Source organism: Homo sapiens, chromosome 9, assembly GCF_000001405.40.
Source record: "Homo sapiens chromosome 9, GRCh38.p14 Primary Assembly".
Lineage (NCBI taxonomy): Eukaryota > Metazoa > Chordata > Mammalia > Primates > Hominidae > Homo > Homo sapiens.
The window spans coordinates 103,330,761-103,351,974 of record NC_000009.12 but is presented as its reverse complement, the minus strand read 5'-3'; the positions used below and the strand labels follow the sequence as shown (position 1 = coordinate 103,351,974).

The 21,214-nt window shown below is 34.9% G+C and overlaps 2 annotated features.

Annotated features, from left to right (window-relative positions):
* Positions 10,330-10,499: an enhancer, noted in NCBI's record as "experimental_104292 CRE fragment used in MPRA reporter constructs". NCBI's record gives its function as "activates a minimal promoter by MPRAs in K562 erythroleukemia cells, with activity observed for both the introgressed and non-introgressed 9:106103843 or rs77886141 variant alleles {active_cell/tissue: K562}" and the evidence as "EXISTENCE:reporter gene assay evidence [ECO:0000049][PMID:34662402]".
* Position 10,414: a transcriptional cis regulatory region, noted in NCBI's record as "Neanderthal adaptively introgressed variant 9:106103843 (GRCh37/hg19 assembly coordinates) or rs77886141 in the experimental_104292 CRE". NCBI's record gives its function as "modulates activity of the experimental_104292 enhancer by MPRAs in K562 erythroleukemia cells {active_cell/tissue: K562}" and the evidence as "EXISTENCE:reporter gene assay evidence [ECO:0000049][PMID:34662402]".

Here is a 21,214-nt window from a genome sequence, read left to right as displayed (position 1 = left end):
TTAAGAAAGTTTTTCAGTTGCTCTGGAGCAGATTTCTCCTCTTTTCTCATTTTCTATATCCAGATTACATTCTCAGTGAGGATAACAGAAATAACATTTGAGCAATTAGATCTATTCCTGATACTGGAGATAGTGTCACCTTCACCAGGGTGCAGGGCGGTGAGGTGAGGGTAGATATTTAACAAAAGCTGAGTTCTATTGGGAGAAAAGAGGAAAGGATTAATGTGGGGCAGACAAACAGTATTATCTTTTATATAGCATGAAACAGATATGCAATTTGTAATTTGGGGGTTGTCCAAAATTCCAATGTTGCACTTTTAAAGCATAATTTGATGAATATGTACCATTATCAAAATTTGCAAATGATATTGAAATGATGTGCTACATACATTAAGCTACTTTTAAAAAATAACTTAGTTGAGATATAACTTACATACCATTCATTTCACTCATTTAATATGTCCAGTTCAATGGCTTTAGTATATTCAGAGTTTTGAAACCATCAAATCAACTTTACATTTCAGCACCAAAAAACTCCCATATCCCTTGGCCATCATCTTCCAATCCTCTTCCCCATCAACCAGACCTGGCAAAATTGTTCTGGATATGTTATACAAATAGACTTATTCAATATGTAACCTTCTTTAACATGCCATAATGTTTTCAATGTTAATTCATGTTGTAGCATGTATTGGTATTTAATTCCTTTTTATTCCTGAATAATATTTTATTTTTGTGGATATATCCCATTTTAGAAACCCTTTCATCAGTTGATGGATATTTGACTTCCTTCCATTTTTTGGCTATTATAAATAATGTCATTATGAATATTCATACACAAGTCTTTGTAAGGACATATGTGTTCAATTCACTTGGATATATACCTAGGAGTGAAATTGCTAGGTCATGTTGTAATTTTATGCTTAACTTTTTGAGGAACTGCTAGGTTGTTTTCCAAAGAATTGCCCTACTTTACTTTCTCACCAGCAGTTTAGGAGGATTTCAATATCTTCAAATCCTGCCAATACTTGCTATTATCTATCTTTCTGATAATAGCCATCCTAGGGTGCTTAAGAAGTGATAAACTCAATGTGGTTTTGATTTGCATTTACCGGATGACTAATGATGTTGACCAACTTTTTATGTGCATGTAGAGCATTTGTAAATCTTCTTTGATGAAATGCCTATTAAAATATTTTGCTCATTTTAACTGAGTAATTTGTCTTTTATGATTGAATTGTAAAAGTTCTTGGTTTATGCTAGATATAAGCGCATCATAAAATAGACATGTTTTGCAAATATTTTCTCCTATATTTTAGCTTTTCTTTTCACTTTCTTGATGTTCCCTGAAGCACAAAGGTTTGAAATTATAATGAAGTCCAATTTATCTATTTTCTTTAGTTGCTGTGCTGTGGTATCATATGTAATACACGATTATAAAATCAAACATTATAGAATTGAATCTCTACCATTATGCCAGTACCAAACTTGATTACTGCAGCTTTGTAGTATGTTTAGAAAGTATGACTTCCAACTTTGTTCTTTTACAAGATAGTTTTGGCTATTCAGGATGCCCTCAACTTTCATGTGGATTATTAAACTATCAATTTTTGCAAAGATTGAGTCTGTACATCAATTTGGAGAGTATTGCCACCTTAATATTATGTTTGTCAATCCATAAAGATGAATTTTAATTCATTTTTTAGATCTTCTTTAATTTCTGTCAATAATAATTAGTATTACTGAGTGTAAGTTTTGCACTTTTTGAGCTAAATTTATTTTTACTTTATTATTTTTGATGAGGTTTTAAATAAAAATTTTAAATTCTTTTCTCTTCTTATTTTTCATTGCAAGAACATAGAAATATGATTGCTTTCTGCATATTGATCTTGTCTTGTGGAACCTTGCTTAACTAGTTTATTAATTAGTGAAGTTTTTAGCAGAATTCTTAGGACTTTCTTGATACTATGTAGTGGAATCTGTGGTAGAGACTATTTTCTACTTCCTTTACCACCTGCATGCTTTTTACTTTTTTCTTATCTAACTGTCCTGTCTGGAAACCGCAGTAAAATGTTGAATAGAAACAATAGAGCAAATATCCTTATCTTGTATCCCAACTTAAAGAAAAGTATTCAGCCTTTCACCATTAAGTATAATGTTATCTGTGGAATTCTCTCTCTCTCTCTCTCTCTCTCTCTCTCTCTCTGTGTGTGTGTGTGTGTGTGTGGTGGGGTGGGGTTGAGGGGTGCATGTGAATTCCCTTTATTAGATTGAGAGAATTCCATTTATTCCTAATATTTTGAGCATTTTTATCACGAACAGGTTTCAGATTTTATCCAATGCTTTTGCTGCACCTGCTGAGATGAACTTGGTTGTTATATTCTTTGTTGCTGTTGTTAAATGTTGTGAAATGCATAAATTGATTTCCACATTAAACCAACCTTACATTTTTGAAATAAATCCTTATTGGTAATCATATATAAACATTTTTAAGTGCTGATGAATTCAGTTAGCTAGAATTATTGAGAATTTTTGGTCTATATTCATAAAAGACACTGGTCTCTAGATTTATTTTCCTGAGATGGTTTTGTTTGGTGTTTAAATAAACGTAGAATGAGTTGGAAAGAGTTTCTTTCTCTTTTGTAATTTGTATGAGCTTGTGAAAAATCATTATTAATTCTTGAAGCATATGGTAGATTTCAACATTGAAATAATCTGCACCTGGGAGTTTATTTCTGGGTGGCTTTTTACCTTCTAATTCAGTCTCTGCTTCATATAGATTTTCAGATTTGCTAATTCTTTTTGAGTCAGTGTCAATAGTTTGGGTCTTCCAAGAATTGATTTAATTTCCTGTAAGATATCTAATCTGAAATGGAGTTTCTATCACACTGAGTTAGGAATAGGGAGGAATGGAGGAAGGAGGTGGGTCATGATTGAAATGCCACATACTTTCACTCTTCTTGCTGAGTTTTTATAGTTTTCTTGTGTCTTCTATTCTCTTTTGCTGTATACTTTTAGGGTGTTATCCAGTGATTTTAAATAGTTGGATTTTTGTATAATTTTCACTAGTTATGCGTGTTTCACTGAGTTGCAGCTCTGTGGAAACTCTCTGGCTGCCGTTCTGGAATAATGGAACTCCCATTATTCTACTTTTAACATACGTCATGTCCGTCTCCAAAGTTCAATAGATCTGTCTTAGATTCAGTGCTCTTTTAGCGACTAAGTTTCTTTCATTTGACTACTATTGCTGTTTATACTCAAAATAGCAGTGTTTACTTAGTCCTACCATTGGCAGTCAGTCATTTTCAGGGTGGTCCACTTTCCTAGCCCTAAACTGACACAGAAAACTCTGAAATCATTAATCTTTTGCCTTAAGATATCTTGGATCATTTTGCCTTTTCTACACTAAGAATCACCATTTTCTACTCCTCAGAGCATTTTTGTTTTTATTCCTGACAGTGTATTAGTCTACTTGGGCTGCCATAGCAAAATACCATAGACTAGGTATCTTAAACAACAGAAGTATATTTTCTCACGATTTTGGAGGCAAGAAGTCCCAAGTCAAAGTTCTAGCTAATTGATTATATTTCTCGCGAAGGCTCTCTTCCTGGCTTGTAGAAGTGCCTTTTTGCTATGTCATCATGTGACCTTTTCTCAGTGTATGTCCATGGGTAGAGACAGAATGAGGGTGAGCTCTCTGGTTTCTCTTCTTACAACAATACTAATCCTATTGGGTTAAGCCCCCACCCTTACAAGCTTATTTAACCTTAGATACTTCCTTAAATGTTCCATCTCCAAATACAGCCAGCCATACTGGGGATTAGGTTTTCAACATATGAATTTTGGAGGGACTCAACATTTAGTCCATAACAAAGTATAAACAGTTTGAGCCACAACTTCTAGTGTTCAATATTTATATTTTTCACAAAATAATTATGACAGGCACCTCTAGTCATGATTTAGCTCCTGGTTTTAGTTTAACCCTCACTTTACTATGTATGTGTGTGTGTATATATATATATGTTTTTTTTTTCTTTTTTTACTGACTTAAGACCTTCTCAGTTCATGTCATTATTTTCCAATTATTCCTTCCAGCATCCCCTCCTTTAATAAATTGAATCTCCCCAAAGGCTGTAGAATTTCAAATACCATATTAGACCACTGGTAGGGAAATACCATATAATACCACCTAATATTTAGAAAAAAAATCATTCAGTTGCTAACTATTATCTGTTTTTCACGAAGCCTCATTGATGTGATATATCTGTTCATTTCTCCGGGTCAATAGGCCAAGTGTTCAGCTTGTTTTTGTACCAGTAATGAGCTCATATTTGTCTCTTAGCCTGAATTTTTCTCCTTTGCCTGTAAGGGAAATGCGCCATCACTAAATCTTGAATCATCTGACAATTTATAAACACATCACAAAGAAAGATATGCAATTTGCCTTTTCATTCAACCAAATTTCTTGCCTCAGAAACTAACCTTCTTAGCCGACTGTTTCCTCAGATTATGTAGTTCCTACATGAAAATAATGCCAAGGGGTCTGCAAGCATATTTTAGTTCCCAGTTCTGAAATAAACATTGAGAAATGTTGAAATGTTGTTTTATATGTTGAAATTCCCCATTATTCTATAATTTAGCCATGGCTTCACAGAACTCTCATTTTCCAAATCCTTCTCCAAAAAATCAGCTTTCATTTGATCTGATATTTCCTCCCTTCCTTTCCTCCTCCCTCTCAAGAGCAAATTCTCTCTATCAAAATTTTCCACTGACACTATTAGTTCCATGTGACTGAAACAGAATTATATATAATCCTTATTACCATCTATTATTAAAACAATTATGGTTGTGCAAATGGAGATCCCTACCTTCCACCCAAGTTCAGAATATAATCGAGCAAAGGGCACAAAATATATCTTCTTGAATAATAAATATTAAATTAATTTTTTGAACTAGTATCTACAGATTTTTCAAACTTATCCAAGGGTCCTTGGAGCCCTGAACTGCCATTTTCTCACATCACTATTATTTCATTCTTCCTATCTGTAGTAATAAGAGCAACTCATCAGGAAAATTACCCATACACATATAGAGGATAAAGTGAGGATCCCTTTGGAGTTCCCACAAAAAGCATCATGTAAATCTCTGTTAAAATATTAAAGGATACTGATTGTATTAATTGCCCCATCATTAAGGGAGAATGTGTTTTAGAACAATATCTAAACAGTTTCCCTAAAAGGAAATGCAAAAAGATCTTTATAAGTACTATTATTAAGGTTATGCTTCAAAGTTAATTTCTAAGGAAGAAATCAAACACTGGAAAAGACTAGGGATTCATTTAAGTGGGAAATATGTATTCACTTTTAGTTGGCTAAAGGTACAGACTATGGGTTTCAAATAAAGTTGTTTACCAGAAATTGTAGATCTTTTTTTTCCACGGGGGGTGGGTGTTGTAGATCTCTTTTTCTGGAAGAAGCCGGTTCTTACATAATTTGCAGTCTTGGTAAGTTTTTACACCATAAGTTCATAAATTTGGTTTTCAATCCTCAACATCCAAAATCAAAAAGTTATCAAGCTGCTTCAAAATCAACATTTGGGGGCAGGAGAGTTCCATCAGGCTTTCTCCCCACTACCATCACTTGATGTAATTGGCTCCAATTCTGTAAAAACTGGCAAGTTATTGCATACATGCCTAAGACCTTGTTCTAAAAAGTAATTCTCTTTGAGATCCTGGAGTAACTTAGAAGGAACTTAAGCTCTCAGAATTTTGGATATTTTATTGGTAATGTGATGTTTAATCTGATATCTTTGTAGCTAAGATACAAATGGACATTTTAAGCAAGAGTTACAAAGAGAGGGACAAAATGGCCTTATCAATTTTTAAGGACTAAATTTTGAACCTCAGTCAGGAGACCAGACCCAGTTTTTTGTGGTAATTTTATTTCAGGCAACTTGTTGCTCATCTGTATTTCTTTGTTCTCATCAGGGACACTTTAGTCCACCCTGATAGGCCTCCATAGGTTCAGATCTGGAAAGCAGACTCTGGAGTTTTTGTCCCTCACCTCTCAGAAGCACTGGATCTATGAATGGTGTTGCATATGTTACACTCTCCCTCTCCACCTTCCCAGTTCCCACAGCCAGCTTTGATGATTAGGGAATGTTTTTGCATCTCAAGTAATGTCCTTAATGAAGTCACCAAAGGTTCTTCCACAGCTTTCTCTGGAGGTCAATGAATGCTGACTCACTCAATATTTACATAATTAAGGGGGATCATTCAAGTGGATACTTGTAAAACACCTACAATCTGATTCAAGGTGATCTCTGTTCTTCCTAAAAGACAAAAGCTCCTGGCAACATAGAGCAACAGTTTTATTACCATTATCATCTGTGCCATCCAAGGTATAGATTCTCTAGGAGAGACGGCAAGTAGCCTGAATTAATTCAACATATAATTGTTGTTCTAGACATATTAGTAATATAAAAGGAATACATCAAATTTTAATTTTAGAAGCATCTCTCTAAAGATAGTGTGGAGAATCAGTAGAAGAAAAAGAAGGGTGATAATTAGAAGGTCTTTGCAAGTACACAAGTGTCTTAGTTTGTGTGGTGCTCCTATAACAGAATATCTGAGACTGAGTAATTTATAATGAACACAAATGTACTGGCTCACAGATCTGGAGGCTGGGAAGTCTAATATCAAGGCACTGGCAGGTTTGGTGATTCTGATTCCAAGATATTGCCTTGAACGTCGTGTTCTTCTGAAGAGAAGAATGATTCATTATCACACGGCAAAAGACGGACTGACAAAGACGTAACAAGGGGCCAATCCTGCCCTTTTATAACAGCATTAATCCCACCCATGAGGGTTCACCCCATCACCTAACCAAATCCTAACTCCTAACACTGCCATAATGGAAACTGAATTCCAACATGAGTTTTGGAGGGGACAAATATTGAAATCATAGAACCAAGTAAAAAAATGGCAAGAGCTTAGATTAGAGAATTGACCGTTTAAGAATATATAGTTTGGAAGAGTTTTAGAAAATAGAAACAACACAATGCATGCATTGATGTGACTGTTGTGGGAAAGGGATATATAACCAATGTAACCATAATAAGGTGGATAATGATGTGATTATCTTGGATATATAATATAGGAGAAGGAATAAATTTGGTAAGAGAATCATACACACTGTACTTCAAACAAGCTGAATTTTACATATCTAGTGGGACATTTGAAATAAATGTTAGGATTTTAGACATACAGAATTAAGTATTCCCAGCAGATTAATTGAAGTTCAATCCATGAGAATTTTAAAAATTTCAAAGACAGATTACAGAGAGGATATAAGGGTCAAGAACAGACCTCTGGGGTAACATCAGCCTTCACAGGGAAAAGAGATGAAGGGATATCCACAGAATTATTAAAAAGCGAGCTTAGGCAGATTGGAGTCATCAAACAGAAGAAAAGAGAGTTTTTTAAAAAAGTGATCAAACACTACTCAGAAGCTGAGAAAGAAAAAGAATAAAAGTGACAAATATTTTTGAAAATCATGGCTATGGTGCAAGTAGTTTTATTAGATTTGAGGGTGGCAACAATGAAAAATTTTTACATAATTAAAGAGCAGAAGTTTCTTTTATATGTCCTTAAATCTGAAGCTTTCAAGGTTTGCTTTTAGAAAAGAAATGGCTTTTGAACAATCAAAAAATGATGAAAATATAAGTAATCTAAATCAATAAAAATACAGAGAAAACATATTCAAGACAAAAAAACTTTAAACTTACATGAATTCTTCAGGTATAAAGAGTAAACTAAAGTACTGAAATGAATCATTCTGAACATTTCGAGAGTGCATTAGGGATCTAAATTTTGCCGTCGTACCCATTATAACCCTCAACTTACGAAATTTGCCAGCAAAAATACTTGATGTATTTAAAATCATAGTCACAGACAATCACCTCTGATTTCTTTTCTTTAGCTACAATTTTAAGAGTGAAACATTCCTCAAAGAACATTTTCTTTTATTCATGACACTTTAAAAGGAATTTATTTTCCTGTGAGTATAATTATATGAGCAGATCACTCAAGCCTTTTCTATGAACAAAATTTTGAAGTTGGTATACATAATGTCACTGTACTCATGTGCATGATGTTACAATGATCTTAGAATCCCTTTACATTGATCATATTTAGCAGTTGGGTCCTGAAAATTTACTTAAAATTTAAACAAAGTAATATATAGATTTAACAAAGAAAAATAGGAATTAATCAAATACACACATTCACTCAATCTTGTGTAACCTTTGACAATTGAGGATATTCATTGACCTGTATCCTAGAGGAAGAGAAAACGTTAATTTGTACCTGTGTTGTCAGAAAAGAGGTGTTACAGAGACCTTAAGAAGGAGGGTGATAGGGAAAGGGGAGAGAGAACATAGTAATTTAATACCTCTATGGGTACTTTTTGACTGAGGGATGCTCTAAGAAAATGATTGAGTATGTTAATGGAGGGAAGAGGACATACAGTTGAAGATACACCCCAAGTGAGAGAATATTCAATATGTTAGAGAGATGAGGGTATGGGTCACATGAATCATGTAGCTGGCCACTCCCAAAAGCTCCAGGAGGTTTCCTATTCCCAACTCAGAGATTATAAATAAAAGGTCAGATATTTACATGACTGGTTGGATTTGTAAGCAACTTGAGCTTCGGTATATCATCTCACATTTAAAATTTGTTTCCACATTTTATTTTTCCTTAAACTAATTTCATATGCTTTATTAATTACTGTTTATGGAGTAGGTGCCTACAGTTTTTCAGGTTATGAAGTGCCTCTCAGAGCATGTCAATTGAAACAAAGAAGCCCAAAAGAGAGCACTAGGCACAAGCAGCAGCAGATTTTTACAAGGAAATCATTAGACATGAAGCTCTTATAACCTTTTTGTCTCTTTATTCTGTGGACAAAAATTCCAGACTTCAGTGAGAAAGATGAATAACAGGAATAAACATAATCTGGGAAACAATTATATAACAAAAACATAAAGTGTGTGGATAGAAAAGCGAGTTTGGTGTTTGTGTACCTGAGCTGAAATCCATGTTCCAGCTGTAGTTTCTGTGACTTTGGAGGAGGCAATCCTCTCTGCAATTTAGACTTCTTTGCATGATCTATTTACCAGGAGATTCTATCTCCCTCCCTCATTCCTTCCTCTGCATTGTAGCTACTCCTTCTAATCTTTTATCTTCTTTAATGAGGCCTGCCTAAATCTCAAATCATAATACATTTTATTTTATTATATTCCTATGACAACACGAACTTTCTGTTTTAACCAATAATGATTTACTGTAATTATGTCCTTTCTTTAATAGTAATTCTGAAACTTTGTAGTATTTGTGAGGGCTAATGCCTGCCTTACTGTTCATTTTTTTCCCCTAGTGTTGGCATGTAAGTGCTTAAGAAATATAGTTAAATAATTTAATAAAGTAATCAAATAAAAATTCTACTCTATTATTTACTTACTAAGGAACATCAGAATAAACGATTATTTTTATACCAGGAGAGGGTAGTAATTACATTATCTAAGATTAATTTTGATTTTGCAATAATCCGTTTAAAGTTAACATGAAAGTTGGAGCACATAGTAGGATGTCTTAAGGAATAATTAAATTTTAATACTTGAATCTTCAACTATATGATAATTATGGATTATTTAACCATTTGTTGAGTATTGAGCGATTTTTTTGTTTGGTCCTGGTTAGGAAATAAAAAATGTTGAAAAATAAGTTATTGGAAAATCAATACTAAATTATAGTTATAAACCAGTAACATCCTTTGTTAAGTCAAGACTTTGGCTTCTTAAAATATGACATTGTCAGGCCGGGTGCAGTGGCTCACGCCTGTAATCCCAGCACTTTGGGAGGCCGAGGTGGGCGGATCATGAGATCAAGAGATCGACACCATCCTGGCCAGCATGGTGAAACCTGGTGTCTATTAAAAATACAAAAATGAGCCAGGCTTGGTGGCACTCGCCTGTAGTCCCAGCTACTCGGGAAGCTGAGGCAGGAGAATCGCTTGAACCCGGGAGGTGGAGGTTGTAGTGAGCCGCGATCATGCCACTGCACTTAGGCCTGGGTGACAGGGCGAGACTCTATCTCAAAAAAAAAAAAAAAAAAAAAAAAGACATTGTCATGTTAAACTATTGATTGCTGTCTGTCATAATCAAATGCTTGAATTTGATGATAGATTATGAGTTAGGTTTTTAGACATTTATTTTAAACCTGTATAATAAGTGGTGTTTGTGTACTGTGTCAGATGCGTGTGGATGAAAGGGGTAAAAGTGGAAATCTAACAGAGTGATTAAGGACTATTTAGCACTTCACACTTTGACTTTATTATCCAAAATCATCTATTCAAATTACATGAGATGAAAGTTTGGCAAACAAAAACTAGGCGTCAGTGGATTTTTTTTTCCAAATTTAGTTTAGCAGTGAAGACAGAAATGACTGGAAAATATTCTGCTACTGTCTTTTGCTAAATTACTAGGGTATGACCTAATAAGCCTTACGAAAGTGAACCTCTTGTACAGTGTCTGGTTCCCAAGAAACTCAGCCTATTACAATTGATGCCATAAATGAATTAAGAAAGTAGATAATGGGGTGATGTTTTGTGGCTGGGTTACTCACTGCCAGGCTGGCAATAACGGTCCCTCACTGACAATTCTTATTGGTAGAATACAGAGAGTTCTTAGTACAAGATAGATGTACAATTGTTAAAATTTTCACTTTTGATGAATTGGTATAGTATACTGGTGGAAGGTGATATATTAATTGGGGCAAAGTATACAGCATTTGAGAAATATGGAGAACATAAGAACTATTAGGACAATGGATTTGGGTAGCTATTTTTAAGCACTCTTGATGCTCTGGACAGAGAAAAAAATGTTGAGAGCAATTAATTGGCAAGTAAATTTAAGTTCAAAATCGAGAGAGTTGTCCTGGTTGCATACAGACAGATTCTTACCCCTATCAAGGGAGAACAGAGTAAACTGAAGCCCAGAGCCTGGAATAAACTATCAGATTGTCTGAGCTCCCAAGGAGGTAAGTCTCATATGTCAGGTAAGTCTGGCATGCTAAAGTCAGGCTCCTGGTTGGGAAAGAATGAGAACTTGACCCACGAAAGGAGAAATTTGTGCTAATGCACTGAGAAGACTTGAAAGTCTATATTCGGCCGGGTGCGGTGGCTCACGCCTGTAATCCCAGCACTTTGGGAGGCCGAGGCGGGCGGATCAGGAGGTCAGGAGATCGCGACCATCCTGGCTAACACAGTGAAACCCCATCTGTACTAAAAAAAAATACACACACATAAAAAAAAAAAAATTAGCTGGGCGTGGTGGCAGGTGCCTGTAGTCCAAGCTACTCGGGAGGCTGAGGCAGGAGAATGGCATGAACCCAGGAGGCAGAGCTTGCAGTGAGCAGAGATCCAGCCACTGCATTCCAGCCTGGGTGACTGAGTGAGACTGTGTCTCAAAAAAAAAAAAAAAAAGAAAGTCTATATTCTTCAGGACCTTCTGAGCCTGCAAAAAAGGACCAATATTCCCTATTAAATGCCGTCTCTACATTTTGGTTGAATGAGATGCAGAGACCTCTCCTAAGACAACATGTGAGACCCTCAGAATAGACCTCAATTCTATTCCTTGCCTGAACTCCAATAAATGGGGTTAAAGTACAACATGTTCTATCTAAATAAAAGGAGAGTCTGATAAGAAATGAAAGAAACTATAACCCAAAAATTTAACATGACCCATCTAGTGCACAGGAACAGAAGCCAGAAGAGAATGTATGGGATATATTTTCAAGTGTACTTGATCAAGGGGTCATGAATAGGAGGTTGGATAAATTAGAGGTTATCAATTTGTGAGTATCTTCTAGAATACAAGAATTAATTTTCTGAAAGAACCCTAGGAGATTGTGTAACATGCTACTAGGGTGGCTTTAAAAGCATGAGAAAAAAAATGGCCTGGTAACTCACAACCTTTCTGGTTCAATTATTAGTTTTAACAAGTTATCTTATAGATTTCCTTGGACTTTCTACATCCATGTTGCCTGTGAGAAAAAAAATTATCTTTTGATAATCAACATATATTGTATGATCCACCAAGTTCATCGCCATCTATTAAAGACTACATTTTCTTCATTGTCACTCTAAATTGTTTATCTTGTCCCTTTTCTTTAAATTGAAGATCCCTTTATGACCTTATTTTTCTGTCTCATCTACTGCCTACCTTAGCTTTCCTCTTTTTCCACTTATCTTATCAAAGGCTAAATCATATTATGTGGCTTGGAACATATACCCTCCTGCATGGAGGTTACTCTCCCAAGCCTTCTTTCTGAAATGGATATTTACTTTTTCTGAAATGGATCTTTTTCATTGCATTTAAGTACACTTAACTCTCTGTACTTTGACACAAAAATAAAAGACTTAAAAAATATTTTCTACTATCCTCTTATACTTCAAGCAACTACCTCATTTTATTTCTTTTTAAGTGAAACTTCTAAAAAATATCCAAAATGTTGGCCTTACTTCTCCACACCTCAGTCAGTCTAAAACTACTATAATGCTAATTCCAAGCCCTATTACTTGCCAGGATTGTTCATTCCAGGTCAGCAATAAACCATGTAACTAAATTCAATGGGGATATTTTATTCCTAATCTTGATACAGTCTCAAATATGAAACTCTCTGTTCCTTGGTTTATATAACAAATAATCTCCCACTTTTTCTCTTCCCTCTTTAACAAATTATTTGTGCTCTGGTTAGATGTGTTTTTTTCTCTATCCAATTACAAAATAGTTTAGTTTTTCAGTATATGTCCTGTGTTCTACCCTTTGCTCATGTTGTGGTATCCCTGGGAAATGTTCATATATGAATGGAAATTACCATTTATCCAAAGATATCCAGATTTTTATCCCCCACATCTATCTCTTCACTGAGCTTGAGGCTTATATTTAATTATCTACTTGAGTTCTTCTTCTAGATATTAAAACGGCAACTAAAATTTGACACATCAAAGCTGTGTTATTTCACTCCACTTACATGATTAGCTTCTTTTCATTGCTTTCTATATTAATCAATGGCACTATCATTCATCTAATGATGCATATAAGTTCTACAAAGATAGATATCATTCTGGACTCCTGATTCAACCATAATCACTGTGCTATATGCAACACTTTGGTAGACTGAATAATGGTTCAAATTCTACATTCATCTGTAATACAATTATATATCCACAACATTTCCCATGTTATTTACAGTGTTTTGTTCATAGTTGCCAACACCCTGTATGTGGTTTAGCTTGCCCTTTTGTACTCTGGTGAACCACCTTAAAAACAGCATGTCTGAAACAGTGGCACACTCTATCCTAAGCCTCAGAATGAAGGCACATAGAGCAAGCCTCAACCCAATCAGTAGTAGCCTAGAGTCCAGTAAATTTCAGACAGGTCGAGTCTAAACTACATAAATGGCAGTTAACTTGCAGACCTATGATCATGAAAATACATGTTTGCTGTGGCAAGCCAGAAGGATTTTGAAATTTTTTGATATGCCACAGAATCTTGATGATTAAAATAATCATTACTATATATTTCACTTCCTGTATATCTCTTGAGTTACTTTTCTTCATCTTTTCATTCCATCTTAGTCAAAGCTACTCTTCCCTCTTATCTAAATACTACAATAATTGCCTAATGACTCTACCTTTATCTATTCTTTTCTCTTTATGCCTTGTCTCAACATGACTTGCAGAGTTATCCTTTAGATGTACGATTTTGATCAAAATACTTTCATTTGCCTCCAATAATCTTTGATACTTACATTCTTTAATTGCCATTCTTTGCTTTTAATAAAATAGACAAAACTTCAAAAGCCTTTTATAATTGGGCTTGTTGGTCTCATTTATGCTCCCTGATACCCTCTGCTTCAATTTAGCTGTCTGTTTCCATCACCTTGTTATGTGTGCCTGGCATTGGAACTGTACCCATGTTTCTTCTGACTGGCACACACATCCAGTTTCTGCTTTTGAAGTTAACTCTCTGTTGCTCTTCAGATCTCAGGTATATTATCCCTTTCTTTCAAAATCCTTCACTTACTTCTTGACTTGTCAAAGCTCTATCACACCTTCTCATAACACTGGTTTTTCTACCATTGCCTCCAGAAGCAGTCTGCCAAAACTTACTTCTGCTACAAACTTTTACATTGATGTAGCACTTAGCCACATCTCATTCATTTTGAAATGAGACAACACATTTTTTGAAATTGTTGCTTGGTTTGCAGGCATATGGATTTGCTACAACTGATCTTGCATATATGCAATCAAAAGTTTTTCCACTTTGAAGATCAGCCAATTATGTGTTATTGTTGCCATTGATTGCATCGGCTTAGTGTTATTCATTTTTAAAAGAACATTTTCCACATCTCTTAAAATATAGCCTAGAGTAGAATGCTAAAACTTGAAGTTAAAGCCTAGTTCATTTCATTTTATTTTCATACCTGTTGAGTCTAAATAAGCTCTCATTTCCAACACCAGAAATATAATGACTTTATTTTTGAAATATTTGAGGCTTTATAACTTTATTCATTCATAAGATAAGAAAAATTTGAAAAGAAACTGAAAGGAAAATTTGTGGAAAAGTGCTATATAATAGAAATACTCACTGAGTATATATATAGACAATATTTTTTGAAATAAATTTTATTTTTATACTCTGTAATTTTTTCTTTTGTCTTTTCTGCTGTAAGATTAATGAGTTTAATTCTGTAGGAGGAAGGTTGATATATGCTAGAACAAAAATGTAACCATTGACCTTAACTGCCATTTAAAATCTTTTTTTTTCAATTTCAAGCAGAAAATAAACATCCTTTTCTGAAATTGGGTTTTAAAATTATTTAGCACACTTCAGTATGAGTCCATCTTATTATTCCTCCATAGTTGAAAAATCACGGTCTTTACAAACTTTAGGATGGGGAAAAAGTCAATGTTATGAGATGTCCCATTCAAATCAAAGTTATAGGAGAAAGTCCATATTTTTTTTTCTATTCCCGTAAGAGTAGAAAAAAAAGAAAGAAAACAACTGGAACAACAAAAATAAGGCAGGAATATACCAACTTATTTAAGCCAAAATCTAGTACAAGAAACAGAAACACTAGGGGGAAAAACGAAAGGAGGGAGGCTTTGGAACCCTGAGGAGGATTACCATTGCTTAAGGGAGCCCCATTTGTACACAATAATGGTGAGTGGTCTCAAGAGAGCAAGAGCAGAGGATGAAAAGTTCGTTGTAGATATGGCTGTTTGGTGTTTAAGAGATCCAGACATCTCTTTGCACTCCAGTGAGAGGAGAGAGAGAGAGAGATGTGAAGAGGGCCATTAGATGATCAGAGTTGTAGTGTACAGGTACAGACTAAAACCAAGCTTAGAAGTGGAGCACTTACTTTTATTTTTACCAATGGGCTTGATGAATAATTTGAGTAATTTACATTCCAAAGGTAATTAGACTTTCAGTTCCAGTTTGATAAGTTTCCTTTCTCACAACCAATAAGCCAAAGAAACTAAAAATGAACAACTTTTCTTAGCTCAATCAGGGAATTGAGGTCTCAGGACAAATCACTACCACCAAAACTGGATAGACAGGAGAATACAGAGAAACACAGTTTAACTCAAGCAGAAGCCACTGCTGGAGCCAACAACTGGTAGAAACACTTAGAGGGTAATCACTAAGTGCTGAAGACTGAGCCCTAGAAAGAGAAAGCCCTAGAAAGCTCTAGAAAGATAAAAACTTTTAGGGACTCTGGCTTAGGGAGGTCACACACTTTTGTGAATTTTCCTTCCAAGAAACTCACCAGTTTCTCAGGTTGACAATGAGAGAAAAATCCCCTCCAGACTCTGAGAAAAGGAAAAGTAACCTTTTAAAATATAGCCAGTTCATTCCGTTCTCCTTAAAAATAAATATTGCCATCAAAAGAGACCATTTTACCAGGGTTTATCTGACCTGGAAAAAGAGAAATACCCAAATTATCAACATGGGTCAAGGGGAAAATTGACTTCAGCCCTATTGTCAAGCCTTTCTCAACTAAGTGTTGGCAGTGGGGAGGGAGAACTGAATAGCACTTGCGAAGATCACAGCCCAAAAGATAAAGTCTTAATGAAAGATTAAGATTTAGCTATACAATTACAACTTTTCACCTCTCCCACAGCTTACCACCACATCAATAGGGCTTTTGTATAATAACAAAATTACAGCTGAAATAACTGCAAAGTTTAGTTTCTATTTAACAATGAGTCTCTAGGGAACTAAAGATCACACAAAAGGCAGAAACGAGGACGCTAGAAAAAAATCATCCTCTGATGCCTACAGCTACAGAAAACACTAACCACAATAAACACAGCCTAATATCTCTCCAGATAAACATAAAAACCTCACACTAAGGACCTATTTACCTCAATTTTTATTTTTCACCTGCTACGTCATACCTAGCTTTCAATGAAAATTACAAGATGTAAAGAAGCAGAAACACAGTCTGTGGAAACAAAGCAAGCAACAGAACTGGACACATATATGTCAGAGATTGAAATTGTCAGAATAGGAATTTAAAATGTCTGTGATTAAACTGCAAAGGGCTCTAATGAAAAAAAGTGGACAACATGTGAAAGGAGGTATGTAATGTATGCAGAAAGAGGAAAATTCTAAGAAAGAGTCAAAGAGGAAAGCTAGAATTGTTTTTTCAAAAGCTGTAATAAAAATAAAGAATGTCTTCAGTGGTTTTATAAGTAGACTGGGCAGAGCCAAGGAGGAATCAGTGAGCGTGAAGATATGTCAATAGTAATTTCTCAACTCAGAAACAAAGAAGAAAAAAATCATTTTTTTAAAAAAGCCCAGTTTATAAAGAACTGTGGGAAATAATATGTATAATGTAAGCACAATGAAAATTACAAAAGGAGAAGTAAGAGGAAAAGAAAACCTATTTCAAGTTATAATGGCTGAGAATTTCCTAAAATATATGTCAGATGACAAACCACATATAGAGGACATTTAAGAACCCAAAGCAGGATAAAATCCAAAAAAAAAAAAAAAATCTGCAACTAGGTATATAATATTCAAAATGTATAAAATCAAAGACAAAATGTTGAAAGCGGGCAATGAAAAGAAACACCTTATGTACAGTGGAAGAAGGGTAAGAGTTATAATGAATTTCTCCTAAGAAACTAGGTAGGCAAGAAAAGAATGGAGTGAAATATTCACCATCAACCTAGAATTTTATATCTAGTGAAATTATCCTTCAAAAGTGAAAGAAAAATAAACACTTCTCAAAAAAAGAAAACTTGAGGGATTTTGCTTTCAGCAAAGAAAGAGGTTTGCTGAAAGAGGTTCCCCTGAGGAAAGAAAAATGATATAGGTTAGAAACTCCTGTCTACATAAAGAAATGAAGAGTGTTAAAAAATATATGAAAGTAAAATAAATTTTTTGTTATTAATTTATCTAATAGATAAGTTTGTTCAAAATAATATTAATAATATATTTTTTATAACTTATCTATAAGTGAAATGAATTACAGCAATATTATAAGAAGTAGAAGAAAGGAATTGGAAATACTTTCACTGCCTTCTTTCAACATTTTCTTTGTATTTAACTTTCTACACTTTGAATATGAAATGCCTACTCATGGAGTTTTTTTTTAATTTATCCTTCCAACAAATGTTTATAGGAGCTTTACTCGTAATTGCCAAAAACTGAAAATCACCAAATGCACATCAATGACTAAGTGGATAAACAACCTGTGGTGTATCTATACAAAAAAAAATTCACCTTTATAAAGAAATGGGCTATCAACAATGAAAAGACATGAAAGAAACTTAAATGCATTTTGCTAACTGAAAGAAGTCAATTTCAACAGGGTACATGCTAATCCAATGTGATTCCAAATACGTAGCAATCTGAAAAAGGCAAAACTGGAGAGAATCAAACTAAAGATGAGTTATTGCCAGGGTTTTGTGGGGGAAAAAAGGAAGGATAGGCAGGTGGAACACATGAAATGTTTAGGATAATGAAATTATTCTGTACCCTGTAATGGTGGATACATGGCATTATGCATTTGTCAAAATCCATAGAATTTACTACACAAAGGGAAAATATGAATGCATACCATATAATTTAGTTAATAATGTAACAGTATTGATTCTTCTACTGTAACAAATAAAATACATGATTGCACTATTATTATATCACTTTTAAGAGTGATATAATAGTGAGGGAAACTGTAGGGAGCAAAACAGGTATGAAGAAGCTTTGTACTTTTCAATTTTCTATAATCTGAAAACTGCTCTAAAATTGTCTTTTTTTTAAGGTAATAAAAGTAGGGTGTCACGAGTAAAGATAGCATAAAAGAGACAATCACTATGGATATGTAAATTTTGTAAAATTGTGCTTCTGGATGAAATGGTAGGTTGGACAAGTCAATGCTCCTACTGGAAAAAAATACATTATAAAAGTAATATTTGCATTGCAATCAAAATGCTTTGGAAGCAATTAAGACTAAAAAGAAATAAACACATGAGTATCATCAGATTTATATAACAATTTAGGCCCTTAGTCATTGTTCTATCTTTTCAAATAGTTTCCTCTGATATAATATGCAGAGACATCCATGGCCACCATCTAACATCAAAGTCTTATAAGGAACCCATTGAAAGATACAGACTGAACTTTCAGTGTTTAATGTATATGGCTCTAATTGTTTCAAGCCTGTAGAACTATTCCACTATATGGGCTGCTTCTTCTGCTTTTTTATTTTTGCATCGAATCTAAATTAATAATTAAACTGTTTCGTCTGGCTGAACACGTGGCTGGAGTAACTCCAAAAGTGGCGGCAGGGATTTCCACACGGGATTGCCCCAAACCATGCCCAGATGGAGCCCGTTGAGATTCCAAAGCAAGAGGCACTAAATGCCAGGGGGATCAGTCCTAAGCTTTTGTTAGGGAAACTTACCGAGTGCTGTAGCAATGCTCACAAAGGACTGAAAGAGAAAAGGGGTGCTCTACCTAGTTATGTCCCTGGTGAGGGGGTCAGGGTAGGGAGTTTATATGAAGGTTTAAGGAGTTTGGCTGAGTCTGGGATGATGTTTGTGCAACAACCTAGATACTTTTATCAGTGCCTGGGAATGAATTGTCAAGGCCTTGTTTGGATTCAAGCCTTCAGGAAAAACCTGTAGCTCACTGGGTCACAGAGTGATCAAAGCACTCTGTGATTTTCAGTCAAGATGACACAGAAAGAAGGCGCAAGAACTGGAGACCCCAATATATAGGATTGAAACCGTCAACCAAATATCTTTATTGATCTGCTGGGACTGGAGAGAACTTTCATTCCAAAGTGAATATAGTGATATTAGACCTGGTTTGGGCAGTCTCTGAATATAAATGCCAGACTTCTGTTTCTCTATTAGATGGACTTTTTTTTTTTTTTTTTTTTTTAAGACAGGATCTCACTCTGTTGCCAAGGCTGGAGTGAAATGACGTGATCACAGCTCACTGCAGCCTCGACCTCCCGGGCTCAAGGCATCCTCACACCTCAGCTTCCTGAGTAGCTGGAAAAACAGGCATGTGCCACCACTCCTGGCTAACTTTTGTATTTTTGGTAAAGATGGGGTTTCACCATGTTGCCCAGGCTGGTTTCAAACTCCTAGGCTCAAGCAATCTGCCAGGTTCGGCCTCCCAAAGTGCTGGGATTATAGGTATAAGCCACTGCACCTGGACAGATTTCTTCTTCTTTAGCATATCATCCTTCCAATCAAACCTGTTAACAAAACATTTTTTGGTTAAATTTAGGGCTTCACTTGTATTGAAATGCCTATCATTTACTTTGTTATTTAAAAAAAAATTAATGAAGGTGATTCTCACATTTTTTCTATCAATAACCAGGTTTTGGAATTTACAAATTGAGATCCTGTTTATATTCAGATTAGAATTTAGAGCTAAACAGAAATAAAGTTTTAGGAATCATTACTGTGAATATGGATCAAAAATGTTACGTAATAAATTCCATTTGTTTTCCAGTAAAATGTGGTTTTTAAAGCAGAAAAAATCCAACTGTGAATAGGACAGTAAGATCTCTATAAGATTTGCAGTATCTTTGATTAAACACCTCCAGTTGGTTTAGTTTTCTACCAATATCAGCTACTCTAGAAAATTTAGGTTTCAAATCCATTGTGAGAGTCGTAGTCCAGCGATCCAGAGGTGCTAGCTTCATATGGAAAGCAAGAATCCACTGGCTTCCTTCTCTCCCCTGTCACTTTGTTATGTGGGTACTTAACACTTGAAAGAATCTCTCCCAGCCCTGTCCAATGATAGCCTGTTTTATCCTACAGAACAGTTTTATGTAGACAAAATCTTCTTTTCAATAGAGCTGGCAGACTTTTCCCAGTTGTTTTTTTCCAGAACCTTATCACTCTGTCTCAATTCTAGGGAAAGGAAAAGACCTTGAACGTGACTGAGAGAATTCCATTAAATCAGGTATAGTATATGGTCTCAGCCCAGAATTCATGGGACTCTCACACATAAATTTAAAAAGAAAGATCCCATGTATGCTTCGGAGTATCACTCTAATTTTTAATGAGGCTAGTAGTAAAGCTCTAGGCCATTTTGACATACTAGGTGGTTGACTCTTGGCCAATTAATTTGTTTATTTTGTTTTTTAGTTTGATTCATTTGCTCTATTTGTCCAAAGGACTATCATAGGAATCTGCAAACATCTGCATAATAGTTATAATAGAAATGAAATGACTTCCGTTGTCTTATTCAATGTGCTCTGGTATCCTAAAAGCAGGAATTACATGTATTAAGAGAAGCTATCACTGTCTGATTATTGGCTTATAAAGAGGGAAAGACTTCAAGCCATCCAGGCATCATGCAACCAGAACTTAATACAATCTCTAACTTTTTGCAAGGATTAGTTTTATGACTAACACCTGATTACCAGTAAAGTTGGTCAGGAAAAACTTTCTGGATTTATTTTGGGAATAACTTATAAGAATTCTGCAAACACATAACACATTTCTTAAATGTTTTGAATAATTTTGTCTTTTTGTCAGGCTTAGTAACAGTCTACTGCCTTCAAAATTCTCCTATAGTCAGATAATGTTGTTGACGACACAACAATACTAACGAAGCA